Source organism: Homo sapiens, chromosome 2 (assembly GCF_000001405.40).
Source record: "Homo sapiens chromosome 2, GRCh38.p14 Primary Assembly".
NCBI classification, from domain to species: Eukaryota; Metazoa; Chordata; class Mammalia; order Primates; family Hominidae; genus Homo; species Homo sapiens.
Window position 1 is genome coordinate 26,933,409 of NC_000002.12, and position 16,984 is coordinate 26,950,392.

At 51.7% G+C, this 16,984-nt stretch overlaps 1 protein-coding gene across 4 annotated transcripts in view, besides 2 other annotated features; it reads left to right on the plus strand.

Moving 5' to 3' along the window:
- Nucleotides 1-16,943, plus strand: part of DPYSL5 (dihydropyrimidinase like 5) — a 102,357-nt gene extending 85,414 nt beyond the window's left edge. For all 4 annotated transcript variants that reach the window (NM_001253724.2, NM_001253723.2, NM_020134.4 and 1 more), the window contains exons 8-13: nt 1,170-1,326; nt 6,623-6,764; nt 8,542-8,684; nt 9,135-9,342; nt 11,248-11,416; nt 13,502-16,943. In NM_001253724.2, coding sequence (NP_001240653.1) covers nt 1,170-1,326; nt 6,623-6,764; nt 8,542-8,684; nt 9,135-9,342; nt 11,248-11,416; nt 13,502-13,587 — 905 coding nt within the window. In that variant the 3' untranslated portion in view covers nt 13,588-16,943. The remainder of the gene's footprint in view (nt 1-1,169; nt 1,327-6,622; nt 6,765-8,541; nt 8,685-9,134; nt 9,343-11,247; nt 11,417-13,501) is intronic.
- Nucleotides 945-1,444: an enhancer, noted in NCBI's record as "H3K4me1 hESC enhancer chr2:27157221-27157720 (GRCh37/hg19 assembly coordinates)". NCBI's record gives its function as "activates a minimal SCP1, AML or CMV promoter by ChIP-STARR-seq in primed H9 embryonic stem cells {active_cell/tissue: H9 hESC(primed)}" and the evidence as "EXISTENCE:reporter gene assay evidence [ECO:0000049][PMID:30033119]".
- Nucleotides 16,161-16,661: an enhancer, noted in NCBI's record as "H3K4me1 hESC enhancer chr2:27172437-27172937 (GRCh37/hg19 assembly coordinates)". NCBI's record gives its function as "activates a minimal SCP1, AML or CMV promoter by ChIP-STARR-seq in primed H9 embryonic stem cells {active_cell/tissue: H9 hESC(primed)}" and the evidence as "EXISTENCE:reporter gene assay evidence [ECO:0000049][PMID:30033119]".
- Nucleotides 16,944-16,984: the final 41 nt, after the last annotated feature.

Consider the following 16,984-nt stretch of genomic DNA (forward strand, 5'->3'; position numbering starts at 1 on the left):
TCACTCCTGGCCCCGGCTCCTGAAACCAGGACCTGAGCCAGCCCTTCCCTTTCATCTGCCACCGTCTTCCTCAGAGCTGCCCTGTGCTATGCTGGCTTTAGTCTGCTAGAACATGAGCTTTTTCTTCTGCAAATTTGTATGCATAACAGCTTTACGGAAGTGTCTGTCACTTCTCCTGGGTCTGGTAACATTTTCCAAGTTTTAAACCCACTCATTAATTAGTGTCTTTTTGGCCTCATAGATTTTACTAGCAGTTGCCTTGGCAACTAACATAAAATGCTGGACCAGTTTCAGTGGGCATTTCAGGGGCTGTTTGGGAAGTCCCTAAAGAAAGAACAGTGTGTGGGCCCAGCTTCCTTTTAGCCTCCTGGAACCCTGTGTATGAGTCCGAGGGGCACTTGTATGGCTTCTGTTGCGGATCGCCTGGCAGTACCTAAAGGCTTGCAGATGCTTGGAGTCCAGCCCCGCCCCAGGTGCTGGTGAGGGCCTGGCAGCAGGAGAAACAAAGTCACAGTCACAAGCCTGGGGAGACAGATCAGAAGCAAGGGCATCTCAGCCTTCAACTATAATCGATCAGAAGCAAGGGCATCCTGGCCTTCAACTCTATCGCCCTCTAGATCCCGCCACCTGCCTCTCCCCTCACTGAAGCCCCTTGGAGGGTCTCGCCTAGACTGTCGTCCCAGCCTGGTGACTGCTCCCACCTCCTGTCTCCCTGTCCTCCAGCCCTGCTACGGCCCTCCCTGTCCTACCACAACCGTTCTCTTGAAGCTGCTCACAGCAACTGCCTGTCCAGAAAACAGTCTAGACTGCTCTTTAGCGTGGCATTCGTGGCCCTGCATGCCTGTTCACCCACCGTCAAGCTCCATCTGCCAACAGCACCCTGCACACACCAGTGCTCTGGTCATCTGGCCAAACCAGACTCCTCAAAGTGCCGCTTGGTCCTGCTGGGCCTCGGTGCCCATGTCCCTCTGTCCTCCTTGCCTAAGTCAGCAGAATAGGGAGGCTCTCTGGGCTTGAACCCAGCTGTGCTCTTAAAAGCCCTGTGAGCTTGGGCAGGTCCCTTCCTGTCTCTGACCTCAGCTCCTTCACCTGTAAAATGAGAGGCACACACCAGCGATCGCTCAGGTTCGGTGGCTTCCTGGTTATGGTTCTGACCTTTCTTCTTCCAGGGAAGGTTGTGCTGGCGGAGACCACCACTGCACATGCCACGCTGACAGGCTTACACTACTACCACCAGGACTGGTCCCACGCGGCTGCCTATGTCACGGTGCCTCCCCTGAGACTGGACACCAACACCTCAACCTACCTCATGAGCCTGCTGGCCAAGTAAGGCGTTTCAGCAGCACATTGCAGGGATGTGTACATCTTTAGGAAGACGTCATAGAGGGCCCAGGAAACAAATCTGAGCTAGGTTTGATTTCATTGTGCCCATAGGATCATTGTGCTTTTCTTACCTTCTCTGAGCCCATCAGATAATTGCCATCCTATTGGGATTTTATGACCGCTTGATATGGAGTGAGATCTTCTGAAGTATAAGAGTGAAGAGCACATATAGAACTGTGAACCGTGGTTATTCGGAATTTCAAAGGACATTGATCTCTTACTCTAAAGCCCAGTGGGGAGCTGCAGAACGTGGCCTGTGACTTATCCTAGAATGTAGGGGTCCTTTCTGTTTCTTTTGTTCACCTCTCCCTCTTCTTGTTGGCTCCCGTGTGCCCCTTGTCTGTACATCCCTCCTTCTGTGGGTTTCTCCTCCTTTCCTTCCCCTTTCCCTTTTTCTTCTGCACTTTCTCCCCCTTTCCTTCCCACACCCTTCCTCCAGATCTCCTTTCTCCAGCTCTTCTATTTCTGACACTGCTTTTTCCCCATGCAATCCCAATCTAAAGGAAATGGTTTGATGAACGGTCTGAATTCAGTGGGACCCAATTATGGAAGGGTTTCTGTTTTATCCCAATAACTGCTTGCAGCTTCTTTCTCTCTCCTATTAACATTTTTGGGGCCAGGTGCAGTGGTTCACACCTGTAATCCCAGCCCTTTGGGAGGCCGAGGTGGGTGGATCACTTGAGATCAGGAGTTCAAGACCAGCCTGGCCAACGTGGTAAAACCCTGTCTCTACTGAAAATACAAAAAATTAGCCGGGCATGGTGGTGTGTGCCTGTAATCCCAGCTACTTGGGAGGCTGAGGCAGGAGAATCACTTGAACCCAGGAGGCAGAGGTTGCAGTGAGCTAGGATCATGCCACTGCACTCCAGCCTGTCCGGCGACAGAGCAAGACTCCATCTCAAAAAAAAAAAAAAAAAAATTGGGGGAGAAGACGATGCTTTCTCTTCACTTTTGGGTATTAAAGTTCCATCCAGTTTAAGACTTCATCTCCTTCCCTCCTGATCCCCAGCTCAGCTTGGGTTGGGGTAGGAGGACTAGGACAAAAGGCGAGGGGATTCTTCTCCATACCCAAGCATGCATCCCTCCCAGCTTGCAGCACTGGCAATGCCTCTGTGAACAAGGACCTGCACAAGGCAACTTATGCCTGGCCACCTTCTACAGTATCTGAGGCCCAGAGGAAGCCCACACAGCCTTTCTGCTCCCTGTGGCTCAGAGGCAGGTCCATAGCCCACAGTCCAGGCAAGGTGCCCACTGCTCTCAGCTCTGTTCTCCACAAGTGAACCTCTTGAAGTATGCCCTCCTTGTCTTCAGGGTGGACTGGTGAGGAGAGGGTATGGAAGCCCCACTCAACTCAGGAAAGAGGAGGGGAGGGAATGCCAGGACTCTCCATCCTGCCAACCCCTCAGTCTCCCTCCGAGGGTCCCGCTTTCTAGACCTGGGGGATGGGGATTCGCCTCTTCTAAGATGGTGCAGGAGCAGTGGAGGGAAGCGACTGGCCCCACCGAAGATGGCTGTCTTAGATAATAAGGTGCTTGTCTCATCCATGTCCTTAGCTTTCAGTTCTGGTTGCCAACCACTGGAAAACTCCCACTCCCATCCCGTTATGTTCACAACCTAAACAGAGTTGGGGGGTGCAGGGCTTAGCCAATGCGAGTGGAGTGCCATCGATAGGGGCGTGGGCGAAGGTGGCCTCTGTGGAGGGCAGTACGCACCACGGCATGGGGATGGTCATTGTATTCTGTCCCATAGCCTTGGTGGGTGCCAGGCGGCAGCAGCTCTTACAATATTTACATATTTACATTATGTAAATAAATATGGAGGGTAAAGATTAAGAGAGAAATGCTAGATCAGCTCTTACTCTTAAAAAATGCTTGTTTTGGCTGGGCATGGTGGCTCGCACCTGTAATCCCAGCACTTTGGGAGGCGGAGTCAGGCAGATTACCTGAGGTCAGGAGTTCAGCCTGGCCAACATGGTAAAATCCTGTCTCTACTAAAAATACAAAAATTAGCTGGGCATGGTGGCTCGTGCCTGTAATCCCAGCTACTCCAGAGGCTGAGGCAGGAGAATCGCTTGAACCCAGGAGGCGGAGGTTGCAGTGAGCTGAGATCGCACAACTGCACTCCAGCGTGGGCAACAAGAGCAAGACTTCATTTAAAAAAAAAAAAAAAAGCTTGTTTTGAGAAGAATCAACCTCCTTTTCATCATCAGCAATACAATAAAAGAAACAATTACCAAGACTCCACTATAATAATGTGGGCTTGGTTCCAAGGTCAAGAATCTTTTGAAACACCCCTGCTTGCTACAAGCAAATTTACTGAAAGAACAAAAAAGATAATAAGTGCTTCAACCCACCCAAATTACAGCGCCCAAACCCACACAAATTCAAATAGACTGGAATAAGTATCATTGAATAATTTAAGTTTTTATATCTAGCTTACTTTGTCAAATGTATTTTAATTATTTAAATTAATTCTATTTATTTAAGTAGAAATGTACTTTTTGTGTTATGATAATAGTCTGAATCCCTTTTTAATCCCTTTTTAATCAGTGCATATTGTAAATGGGTGCTACTTTATAGGATTTGGAGCATAATTTTAATATTTTAATATTTATAGAAATTTATGATGACTATAATTTTGCTTTTGTAACACATTATTGGTTATAATTTATATGATGCAAGATACTTGATAGAAAATTCAGACACCAATTATTATTCCTATAAGAAAATATGAGCTGTTTCCTAATTATCTACTTTAGGGTATGATTTGTGATTTGTTAGGCCCTGCAGGAATAAAAAAGTACAATCTATAGATATAACTATTTATGCTTTATTCTGGCTTGTTTTTTTTTTTCAGACAGGGTCTGGCTCTGTCACTCAGGCTGGAATGCAGTGGTACAACCTCCTGAGTAGCTGGGGCTACACGTGTGCACCACCATGCCTGGCTAGTTTTTTGTTTGTTTGTTTGTTTGTTTGTTTGTTTGTTTGTTGAGCCAGGGTCTCACTCTGTCTCCCAGGCTGGAGTGCAGCCTCCCAAAGTGCTGGGGTTACAGGCGTGAGCCACCCTGCACCACCGTGCCCAGCCTAATTTTTGTATTTTTTGTATTTTTTCATCATGTTGCCCATGCTGGCCTCAAACTCCTGACCTCAACTGATCCACCCGCCTCGGCCTCCCAAAATGCTGGGATTACAGATGTGAGCCACTGCACCTGGCCTAAAATCTGGTTTCTTAAAGGGACAAGAAATTTTTTCATTTGATCATATAAAATGTTACAGTGCTTAGCAAAGCCAGTCATGTTTTAAACTTTAAATGGTTTGGATGGGGGCTTCCTACCTCCCAGATTCAGGGCAGCACTGAGAGAGCTCAGAGGGCCTCCTAGAATGTAACTACCGTCATTCACAGCTGCTTAGTGGGTACCTTTGTGTAGGAGCCTTTTCAGAAAGCTGGGTGCTCAGGAAGACTTGCTGGTTAAAGAGCAGGAGTTGAGCCTGTTGCTCTCAGGGTCCCTGACCTGCCCTTCATGACTGCAGTGGGCATCTTCTGCCCTGAGCCCTGCTCAGGTATCCAGAGGGCCCCTCAGGAGAAAGGAAACCCTAAAGATTCCATTCATCTATCAGGGCTTCTGCAGGTCCAGAGAGTGTGGGGAGCCTTGGGGCTCTGCGGGAGAATCTCTTGCAAAGAGTCTCTGCAAGGGCCAGAGCAGCCTCTTTGGCCCAGAGAAGGCCCAGCCTACCGCACAGGAAGAGCGATGCATCTTCACCACGGGTTTGGCCAAAGACATTAGTCACTGGGCAGGAGCTGAGACTGATAAGCCCTGCCAGGTCCCCCGTGGAGACAGCCCTATGGAGCTAACTGGCCATCATCTGAGAGCCTTAAGAATATGCTTCCTCACCAGGTCAGATAATGCTTTCTGCCCCCACAGTCTCCTGGAGTGGGCATCTTAGATGGCCCACAGGCACTCACAAGGCTCTGGGGCCTCTTACAGAGTACAATGGGACCCCTGCCCCTGACCTTCAGGGCACCCACAGTGTGGTCCCAGCAGTCATCCCCTCCCCCACCTGACTCCCCTGCTCCAGCCAGGCCTTTCTCTGGCCCCGCAAAGCCATTTCCTCTTGAGGCCCTGACCTGGTTTGCGTGGGCATTCTCTCTCCTCCGCCCCTCACTGCCTCTGAGCCCTTGGCCTGCAGAGATCTCTGAATCCAGGCCACCTGCCTGCCTCCCTCATTGGGCAGAGGATCTGCTGCCATGAGCCCTCTCTCCCTGTTCTTCCCTACGTCTTCTTTGGCCCAGGAGCCCCTCGAGGGCCTGCCTGTGCCTTAGCCACCCACAGCCTTGGATGGAGGATGGCTTTTTTTTCATCTTTTCAGACAGAGTCTCCCTCTGTTCCCCAGGCTGGAGTGCATTGGGGCTATCTTGGCTCACTGCAGCCTCCGCCTCCTGGATTCAAGCAATTCTCTCACCTCGGCCTCCAGAGTAGCTGGGATTACAGGCGCCCACCACTACGCTCAGATAATTTTTTTCTATTTTTAGTAGAGACAGGGTTTCACCATGTTGCCAAGGCTGATCTCGAACTCCTGGCCTCCAGTGATGCACCTGCCTCGGCCTCCCAAAGTGCTGGGATTACAGGCATGAGCACCTGGCCCGAGGACAGCCTTAATATATGTGTGAGGACCGTAGTCATGAACGGCATTGGGGAAGAACTGAGTGGCTTGCATACCACTCTCGGTCTATTAAGTCAGGCTTCTAGCTCATCCCTCCTTCCCCTTCTGGGCCATTAGAATCCCCACATCCAAGGAAGGCTATGAGTCCAAGTTATTCAACAAAGCTTAACACTGAACTTGTGAATGCTTGTTGCCAGCAGGTTGGGGTTGGAGAGCTGATGAGAGGGAATTGGTATACAATTCCATGAGAGTAGAACTACCTCCACCATCTCACTTCAGCTAGACTCTAAGTTCGGCTTTTCTCTGCTATCTTCACTCTTAAACATTGCTATCCCAAGGCTCTCACTGAAGTCTCCTGTGACACAGACAGACTGTGCCACACTCATTCTGTAGATGAGTAAACTGAGGTTCACATAGATGCAGTAACTCACGACAGACCACATGGCCTAAGCGGCAGAGCTGAAATTGGAGTCGGCTTTGCCTGCTTCCCACACGGAGGATTTTCCCTATATCTATCCTCACCCTCTAAGTTCCTCACCTCCCCTCCCCTTACTGGTCACCTCCTTTTCTCTACCCAGTGACACTCTGAACATCGTGGCATCAGATCACCGGCCTTTCACCACAAAGCAGAAAGCTATGGGCAAGGAAGACTTCACCAAGATCCCACATGGAGTGAGTGGCGTGCAGGACCGCATGAGCGTCATCTGGGAGAGAGGAGTGGTATGTTTCCTAGAGCCCCGCCCCGATCTGATCCCTGCTCTAATCCCCGTTTCATCCCCGTTCTAATCCCAATAAGAGTATTCACTCCTCAGATCCTGTCAAAGAATGTTCTTAGAAGGGCTGGTTCAATCCCAGCTGTTTGTTTCACTCAAAAACAAAACACAAAAGGTCTTTCCCCCAATTAGAAAGGTAGTAAGACCTATTATGGAAATTTGGAAAATACAGAAAAGTATAAGAAAAAAAGAAACCTTAATTCCACGCCTAGAAATTAAACTACTATTAACATTTTAATATATTTCTTTCATTTAGTTCTGTGCATGTACTGTACTTTTTTTTTTTTTTTTCCTTTTTTACTATGTTGTCCAGACAGGTCTTGAACTCATGGGCTCAAGCTATCCTTCCACCTCTGCCTCCTTAAGTGCTGCGATTATAGGTGTGAGCCACCACACCCAGCTATACATTATTTTAATAACTGGCTTCATATTTTTTTCTTTTACCAACTGCTATACTAACCAGGATTTTTTTTCTTCATATAACACTATACCCTGAGTGTCTCCCTATATCAGTAAAAATTCTTTAAAAACATCTTTTTTCAGAGCTGAATGATATTTTCTCCAATGAAAGTACCATACTTTATTTAATCCTTCCCTGATGTTTGGGACTTTCGGCTGTTTCTAATTTTTGCACTTACAAATAATGCTGAGGAGAACCTCTTTGTTCAGGAGTGTGTGTCAGCATTTCTGATTATTATTATTATTATTATTATTTATTTTTTTTTGTGTGTGATAGAATCTCCCTCTGTTGCCCGGGCTGGAGTACAATGGCGCTGTCTCGGCTCACTGCAACCTCCGCCTCCCGGGTTCAAGCGGTTCTCCTGCCTCAGCCTCCCGAGTAGCTGGGACTACAGGCGTGCGCCACTATGCCCAGCTAATTTTTGTATTTTTTATAGAGGCGGGTTTTCACCATGTTGGTTGGTCAGATGGTCTCGATCTCTTGACCTCGTGATCCGCCCGTCTTGGCCTCCCAAAGTGCTGGGATTACAGGCATGAGCCACTGCACCCGGCCTCTGATTATTATTTCTGATTATTTCCTTAAGACAGCATCCTAGAAGTGGATTTTTAGGCCAAGGGATGTGAACATTTTTAAGGCTCTTGATTTGATATATTTTGTCTAATTGCTTTCAGAAAAGATAAGAACTGGGACTTCATTTGAATACCACCTGTTCCGCACATGAAGAATAAGTATTTTTGGTCTTGATCTATCTCAGATTAGATCTAAAATAGTATGAGCCCCAAAGAGATTTGAAGTTCTCAAGACTAAGCTCATGGAAGGCCAAGGAGATGGCTCAGGAAATCCCCTTGAAGAGAGTCCATAGTACTCTCATGGGTGGGGCAATAAGATGTTTTTCTAGAGCATATATAACCCTTTGAAAATATCACCCTTAGTAGATGAAGGGAGGTTCCTGACTCATCCGTGTGGGCACATGAGCAGAGCTGGTTTTACAAACAGGAGGCAGATTTGCCCCCGGGCAGGAAGCCTGAATGGAACCACGGCCACTCACCATAGTTGCTGGGTGAAGGGAGAAAGGAATAAGTGAGCAACTGGGACCCAGCCAAGCAGGCTGGCTCATCTGAGATGGTGCTCATGGCCTTGTCCCTTTGTGACCACTGTCCTGACCACCTAAGCCCTAAGTCCATGGGCCAGCATCAAAGGTGACCAAGGGTTTGAGACCCACCCCCAGAGCCTGGTTGACTTGACACTTTCTGCAACATTTCAGGTTGGAGGAAAGATGGATGAGAACCGTTTTGTGGCCGTTACCAGTTCCAACGCAGCTAAGCTTCTGAACCTGTATCCCCGCAAGGGCCGCATTATTCCCGGAGCCGATGCTGATGTGGTGGTGTGGGACCCAGAAGCCACAAAGTAAAGTTTGTTGCTCGTCCCCAGGGCTAGAGGGGCTTGGGATTTTGAAGAAGACTTGCATTACAGATCTCCAAAAGCATATAATTTTGCACTATTTCTAGCACAAAATATGGCCCTGGCCTACCGTTGGCCATCTTCTCCCTCCATCTTCACACAGTCTTTCTTCCGTGTCACACATGTCTGGTGTGTCTGTCTCCTCTTCTTATAAGGACACCGATAAGACTGGATTAGGGCCCACCTATATGACCTCACTTTATCTTAATGATTACATTAAAGGCCCTAAATAGTGCCATGTTCTGAGGTTCTGGGTGTTAGAACTTCAGCAGAAGAATTTTGAAGGGAGCCAATTCAACCCATAACAACCAGCCTTTGGGGCTCACCCCTCCCATGGAGCTGTGACATTTTGACCTGTCCTCAGCGCTTTCTCTCCCGCCATTGCCTCCCCACCAGGACCATCTCAGCCAGCACGCAGGTCCAGGGAGGAGACTTCAACCTGTATGAGAACATGCGCTGCCACGGCGTGCCACTGGTCACCATCAGCCGGGGGCGCGTCGTGTATGAGAACGGCGTCTTCATGTGCGCCGAGGGCACCGGCAAGTTCTGTCCCCTGAGGTCCTTCCCAGACACTGTCTACAAGAAGCTGGTCCAGAGAGAGAAGGTGAGGTGGGAGGAGGAAGATGCAGGGGTGTTGGCGCCCCCTGCCGGGGAACATCCTCCATGACTGTTTTAAATCTCAAAGAGATGTTCACTCCAGTTTTCGACCCAATTCCATTGCACTTTCTCCAGCGTTGAGAGGGGAGTGTGCGGCAGCGCCAGGGAACGCTAGAGTCAGAAAATGCTGATTTCTGTTCCCCGTCTTTGATTACCAAGTGGCATTTTAAGTGGTCAGGCAGCAGGGCTCCTGAGTTGCTGAGGGCACAAGTGGGAAATGTGAGTGTGTGCGACCGCTGAGCTCCTCTGGATACGCAGGCTTGGGGTGGAGGAGGTGCTGGGGGCTGGAGATGCTGCTTTGGCTCGGCTCCCTCCCACTCTTGATGAAGCAAGCGGGGGGTAGAGCTGGCATTTGCAAAGCATTGTCTGAAGCACAGGAGGAGCAGGCACCTGAACACGGGAGGCCCACACTGCTGGCACACAGAGCACACGAGAGGGCTCAGAGCTTTCAGAGAAACCAAGGACCCTTCTCTCCCAGAGGCCAATGAGTGAAGAAATCCACTGCCAGGTCTGCCGTGGGAGCGCAGGCTTGGGCTGCCTGAATGAAGAAAGCGTGACTTTCGTGATCGCAGGGCTAAATCCAAAAGCAAACTCAGGGTCTCTTACTCATCACACTCAGCTAATGTTTACTTTTTTGTGGAGATGGACGGGGTTTAACCGTGTTGCTCGGGTTGCTTTCAAATTCCTGGGCTCAAGTGATCCGTCTGCCTCGGCCTCCTAAAGTGCTGGGATTACAGGCGTGAGCCACTGTGCGCGGCCCAATAACACTTTTTAATACGATGTAGGACCATAAATGACCTCTGCAGTAATAACTGCTCGTACTTCTGTGTTGCCTCTCATGTGCCAGAGCAGTTGGAACAGCTTTACACATATTAATTCGTCTGCTCTCCTGCAACTCTCTGATGTAGGTATAGTATTATGGGCACAGAAAAGTAACTTGCACAAAGCCACACAGTTTACAAGTGACAGAGTTGGGATTGGAACCTAGGCAGTCTGGTTGTAGAATATAGACTCCTAACTCTACTGCCTTTGTGAGTACAGAATTAGCTAGTATTGCTACTGGGGGCCTCTCATCTCCAGATGGGGCTGTGTTTAGCCTCTGTTCCCTCAGAGTTGTCAGACCAGTAAAGGGTGTGGCTTCGTGGGAGCCTAAGGTGGGGAATAACGTTGCGCTGTGTGGGAGGGCGCTCTCTAAAATTGACTTCCGGTTGGGCATGGTGGCTCACGCCTGTAATCCCGGAACTTTGGGAGGCCGAGGCGGGTGGATCACGAGGTCAGGAGTTCAAGACCAGCTGGCCAAGATGGTGAAACCCCGTCTCTATTAAAAATACAAAAATTAGTCAGGCACGGTGGCAGGCGCCTGTAATCCTAGCTACTTGGGAGGCTGAGGCAGGAGAATCACTTTGCGGGGGCGGAGGTTGCAGTGAGCCAAGATCGCACCACTGCACTCCAGCATGGGCGACAGAGTGAGACTCTGTCTCAAAAAAAAGAAAAGAAAAATTTGGTTAAAGTTGACTTCCTCAGATGTCTACCTGCTACCTCGGTGAGGCTTCCATCAGTGTTGAGGGGGAGCCAGTATCTCTCCCATACACATGCATGCACACACACATGTGCACTCACATACATGCACGCATGCACACATGTACACATATGCACATGCTCTTTAGGAGGTATGAGAAAACTCCAGCCCCTGGACTCAATGTTTAAGAAGCCTTGGTCACTTGCAGTGATTTGGGTCTTGGGCAGAGTGGCAGTGTCTAATGTCCCACCGGCCCCCAGGGAGGCCATGGTTGTATCACTCAGCTCTGATGGTGTTGTCCTGTTCTTCTGCTCTTCTTCCATCCTTCCCTAGACTTTAAAGGTTAGAGGAGTGGACCGCACTCCCTACCTGGGGGATGTCGCTGTTGTCGTGCACCCTGGGAAAAAAGAGATGGGAACCCCACTCGCAGACACTCCTACCCGGCCCGTCACCCGGCATGGGGGCATGAGGGACCTTCACGAATCCAGCTTCAGCCTCTCTGGTAAGAGTCAGGGGGCCACGGGAGGAGGATGGGGGTCTGGGAGAAGTGGCCCACCTAGGCAGTGGGACTTACGCCTGCTTTTCTTTTGTGTCCTCTCCTCCCTCCCGTTGCCTATTTCCAGGGATGAGTGCTGGTTTGGATATTAGACTCACATAGACATTAGTGGGGACAGGAGGGCTGTCCTGGTCCCTGGGCACAGACGCTCTAATAGGCCATGGCCCACCTGGGGCTCTGCTCGGGGTTTCTAAGTTCAGATATTTTTGTCCCTTGAAACATCTTGAGGGCTGTGCACACAGTGGGTGCTCCAGAGATGCCCTGAGCTCAGAAGAGTCAGCCCTGTCTGTGGTTCACGGGACTGCACCGACCAGCCCTTCGCCCACCCCAGCCCACTCCTCACCAGCCTCTCTACTCCTTCTGCTACCCCCTCTCCTCCTCTGACCTTCCCACACCTTTCCCCGCCTTTGCCTCACCTTCACCTTCTTTTTTTTTTTTTTACCAGGAATTGTATTGTATATATTTTATTAACTTTAAGTAAAATATTTTCTCTCGACTTCTGATGCCCAGTTTTTTCTCTTATCTTTCTGTCCTTTGGGTCCTGGCCCCAGTCCTTCTGTGGAATCTCTGGGTTCCTTGGGGGGTGCGATCCCAGTTCTTAAAGCCACGATCTGCAGTTTCCCGCCCCCCCGTCCCCCCCCGCACCCATCACCATGCGAGCCACGGGCTCATAAATGATGATCCTCAGTGGAGAACAAGCAGAGGCTGTAAGATGCCTCGGGCCTCCAGGTGGCTTAGGTGGGAACTGTCACCACCACTTGCAGGGGGCTAGGACCCTGAGTCTCCCTGAGCACAGTTGAGCTGCCTTCAGGATAAGCCCAGAGAGAGACCAAGCACCCACTCAGTAAGGGCTGTGCTGGGATGGGTACGGCGAGAGGCGCAAGACCCTGGTCCTTCCACCCACAGCCTGGAGTTTACTGGGGGAGACAAGCCCCATACACAAACCATCCTGCTGTGAGAACAGAGGGCTAAACCAGAGGGATGCCAATGGGTCAGCGCCTGCCTGCCCAGGCTCCTGTGTGCCCTGCTTTGGGCCAGGCGCAGCTTGTGGCAGAAGAGATGAGGTCCCTGTTGGAGGTGCTGGTAGCCCATGGGGAGGGGTCCTCTCTCAGGACCAGTCTCATTCCTGAGATGATGGCTCCGCTACTCTGAGGGCCACTGCCACTCCCACCAGTGACGGGCCATGAGTGAAGTCAGAAAGGGACCCTGGCATGGAAGACTTGTTTATGCACACTCAGGTCTTGCCAGTCCCGGAGGCATGGACTCCCACCGCCTTCCTCCTGCAGCCAGACCCACGAGAGGCACCAAGACCCCAGAGCTGCAGGGCCCCTGCTGACCAGCAGCCTCCTCTTCTCCTGCCTGAGAGCCAAGACTGGGCAGAACCCCCGCTCAGACAGCAAACATCAGGCAGCCTGTCCCCTCCTCTCTACCCCAAATCTTGTCTGTTCTAAGCAGGCCAGGCTGAAGAATGTCCCACTGGGCTCTCCGGGGCACTAGACCCTCCCTTTCCCTCCCTTTGTGTTTTGTTTGTTTTTGTTTTTTTTTTTCAATCCTTCTCCTGTATAGACCCTCCCTTTGTAACTAAGTCATGGGATTTCAAGATGCGGGGCCTTTGGGCTGTGGTTCTTTCATTTTCCGAAACAATGGCATACCCTCATTTTTCTCTCTCGCTTACTCACTGAGGCATATGTACAAAGGCCCATGTGCCAACAGGCTGGCCAATGACCTGCATGTACGAGAGACTGTATGCCTAGGCATGGGGCAGTGAAGTTGGCACAGTGGGCAGTTAATAATGTCGGCTCTGAATCAGGAAAACCTGGGTCCAAGTCCAGGCTCTGCCACTTACACACTGCAACATGGGGCAAGTCACTTAACTTCCCTGAGCCTCTGTCTCCTCATCTATAAGATGGGATGGAGTGGCTGTGAGGATTCACTCAGGCCATGCACACAGTGAGCCTCCAGGAGAGGGTGTCTGTGGTTTGTTAGCAGGCACAAGAGCCCGTCTCACCCTCTGTGCTTCCTTCCCTGCAGGCTCTCAGATCGATGACCATGTTCCAAAGCGAGCTTCAGCTCGGATCCTCGCTCCTCCCGGAGGCAGGTCGAGTGGCATTTGGTAAAGGCATTGCCAAGCCCCCCGAGTGAGGACGCACCGCCGCCACCAGCCCGCAACTCTCCAGCCGAAGCTGCAGGGGCAGGAGAGGCTGGGCTGGGTGGCACACCACCCGAGGGGGGCCCCGGGACCCACGGAGCCCTCCCTATGTCTGCAAAGTGATTCACTGTGCTTCGAGCCAACTCTAACAGGCACTTTGAGATGTGTTCCTCCTGCTGTAGTCCTTTCTGCCTTGGCCTCGGCGGGCTTTTCTGGGGCCCAGGAAGCCCACACTATGCACAGAGCCCAATGCATAGAGCCCTGGCCAGCCCTTCCTCTCACTCCTGCCTCCGCTGGCTTTGGGAAAGCCCAGACTTTAGTGCCCTGCCCCCTGGCTGACTGGCCAGTTGCCCAGAGCACTTTAGCAGATGTGGTTTCAAAGTAAAGGCCTCCTCCCCCACCCCTTAGGCCCCGTGGTGACATTTCCCAAGTCAGACAGATGTCAGCTTCCCAGCCATGCCCAGGACGTCCTATCTCCCCCAACCCACCTCTGGCCCTGTGTAGGGGCAGGGATGGGGGTGGCTGGGACTCCTGGTGCCCCTCGCCAGCTTCTCCTGCGCCCCGCCCACACCCTCGGGGGGTCACAGGCCCAGAAGGGTAGCTGGGCGGGGCTCGAGGCTGGTGCCAGGCGCGTGTAAATGGTTTTGTTTTGCACGTTTGGTTTGCGCAGTAGTTTGGTTTGACTTGTTTGTGCATCCTGTGAAAAATAACGGTGCTTGTGTCACTAGCATAGAATAGCGACAGGAATAGATGTGGTCCTTAGGAGACGCTGCACTTGACACCAACCAGACAGCACAGGGCAGGGGTGGTGGAGGGGGCTGGGCTCACAGGCCTCTCTTTTCCCCGCCTGCAGTCTTCTGGGCTGCGGGAGGCCCTGGCCCTTTCCCCTTCCCCTCCCCTCCTTGTCTAGTTTCCCACATTCCAAAAGGGGGCCTGGGATGCTAGCCCCAGAGATGCCAGCCCTTCAGGAAGCAGGTGTCCTTTCCCCTCTCTGCCCCTGATCACTCCCAGCACTCCCCTTGCCTTCCCCTGTCTTCACCTGCCACCACACACACACACACACACACACACACACACACACACGCACGGCTTCCTATAACTTCTTCCTGCTGGACAGAGACTCAGCGCTCCTCCTGTGTGACTGGCAAGAGGCCTCATGCCTGCTGAGAGAGGAGGAGTGGGAGAGGGGCTTGCCAGACACCAGAGAGGGAGACCCCAGGCCCACAGGACCTGGCTGTCGAACCCGCATTGCTGCTCAGGTGCCGTGATCTCCCGTGGTCGGCACCAGGCCCTTGCCAGCTCATGGCCTCATCTTCTCCCCTGTCCATCCAGGTGGGCCCTCCCTGCTTCTAAAGCCCCACAGAAGTTCCCATGGAAACACTAGAGGCCGGGTGTCTCCTTCCACCTCCAGTGATCTGGGAAGTGACCCAGCCGCCTGCCCTTGTTAAGCCTGGTCTGCCCCGTGGGAAGTGACTTCATGTTGCACATGTGATTTCAGCCCCCGAGGCTTGCGCGAGGCTTCTGGACCCTCGGTTAAAGGTCAGCCCCTGGCCGGGTGCGGTGGCTCACGCCTGTAATCCCAGCACTTTGGGAGGCCAAGGCGGGTGGATCATGGAGTCAGGAGATCGAGACCATCCTGGCTAACACGGTGAAACCCCGTCTCTACTAAAAATACAAAAATTACCCAGGCGTGGTGGCGGGCGCCTGTAGTCCCAGCTACTGAGGAGGCTGAGGCAGGAGAATAGCGTGAACCCGGGAGGCGGAGCTTGCAGTGAGCCAAGATCACGCCACTGCACTTCAGCCTGGACGACAGAGTGAGACTCCATCTCAAAAAACAGACAAACAAAAAAGTCAGCCCCTGCACATCTCTGTAGTGCTTTTCATGTATTCAAACCACTTCCGTATATGACCTCTCACTTAGTCCTCATGACAATGGAGCACTTATTATTCTTCCCATTTTACAGATGAGGAAACTAAGACCCAGAAAGTTCAGGTCCTCTGACCCCAGAAGTGTCTGTGATGACCCTCCCAACCTTGGCTATCTACCCCACCTGTGGAGAGGAGGTCTGGGGTGACATCTATTGTAGATCCCACCTGAGAGTTTAACCAATGAGAAGACTTACTTTCCTGGTAGGCAGCCTGCTTTGTTTTGCACAGGAAGATAGATTTTTTTTCTCATCTTTCTTATAAACAACCTCATGCACATTCTGTGTTTGAGCCAAGACTAGTCACCCATTGGGGGCTAACCGTGCAGTGTGAGCTGCGTCCACACCCTCACTTCTCCCTTCACTCCCCCTTTCCTCACTCAGGGGCTGAGAGGACAGAGGTGGTCAGCCGGGGAGCAGAGGTGGCGAAGGGGCTCATGGCAAGTGGCAGCCATTGGAACAGGGGTGAGGACCCAGGCCTGGGAAAGCCACCAGGGATGGGGGAAACCATGACGCCGCCTCCTGGTGCAGTGCACACCATCTCTATCCCTGTCAGCCCTCACTGGGTCATGGGCCTTGGGCAGATGTCAAAGAGCCCAGCAGCAGCGGTGGTGGCCAGCTGGGCAGAGCATCCTTGCTTGGGCTAGGAAAGCTTTACCTTCTCTGAGTGCCTCCGCCTGAGAGATGTGTGACCCGTGGCACCAGGGAACCACGTCTTGGAGTGGTCCACTGTAGGCCATGCGCTTCATCCACCCCCAGTCCCTACATAGGCCCTACCCTTGCCCGGGAGCTTCTAGATAGAAATCAGAAAGAGATTCAAGGAGCCAAATGAGCGGTCAGCCCCCACCATGCACTCCTTGCCCCGTGCAGAGCTCCAGCCAGCTTCGTCACCAGCCCCACTGGCTCCTGGTTGGAACGAAAGGGTCTCTGGTTGCACTGAATGCAGCTCTCAAACTGGTCTTGTACTTGCTGAATAAATACTGTTGTTCTTGCCTTAGCTGCTCTCTAGGTTTGTGGGGTTAAGTTGCCAGAAAATTGTGCTACTGTGTGTGCGTGTGCGTGCGTGTGTGTAGTGCTAGGAGTCCACAGTAGGTCTCTGTCAAGCCGATGTCGTGATGAGGGCTTTTCTGATACTGACCCAGAAGCCACAGAACCACAAGGAAACCCAAACCCCCTCCAGCTGCTGAGGCGCAGGCACAGCCTGGGGTCGGATGGAGCCTCCAGCACCCCAGCACCCAGGTGACTTCCCCACTCCCCTGTAAATGTCATGGTGCTAAGACTGTGTCAACCCCAAGACGACACATGGTCCTGTGCTTTGGCCACCGTTTGAGGCAAAAACTAAACAGCCCGACACGTTGTGTTCTGGTGCAGGTTTGTATTAAACTGTAGCTACTTCTCACTTGGACTCTGTTGTGTTTCTTCAAAGAGGAGGGAGTTTGG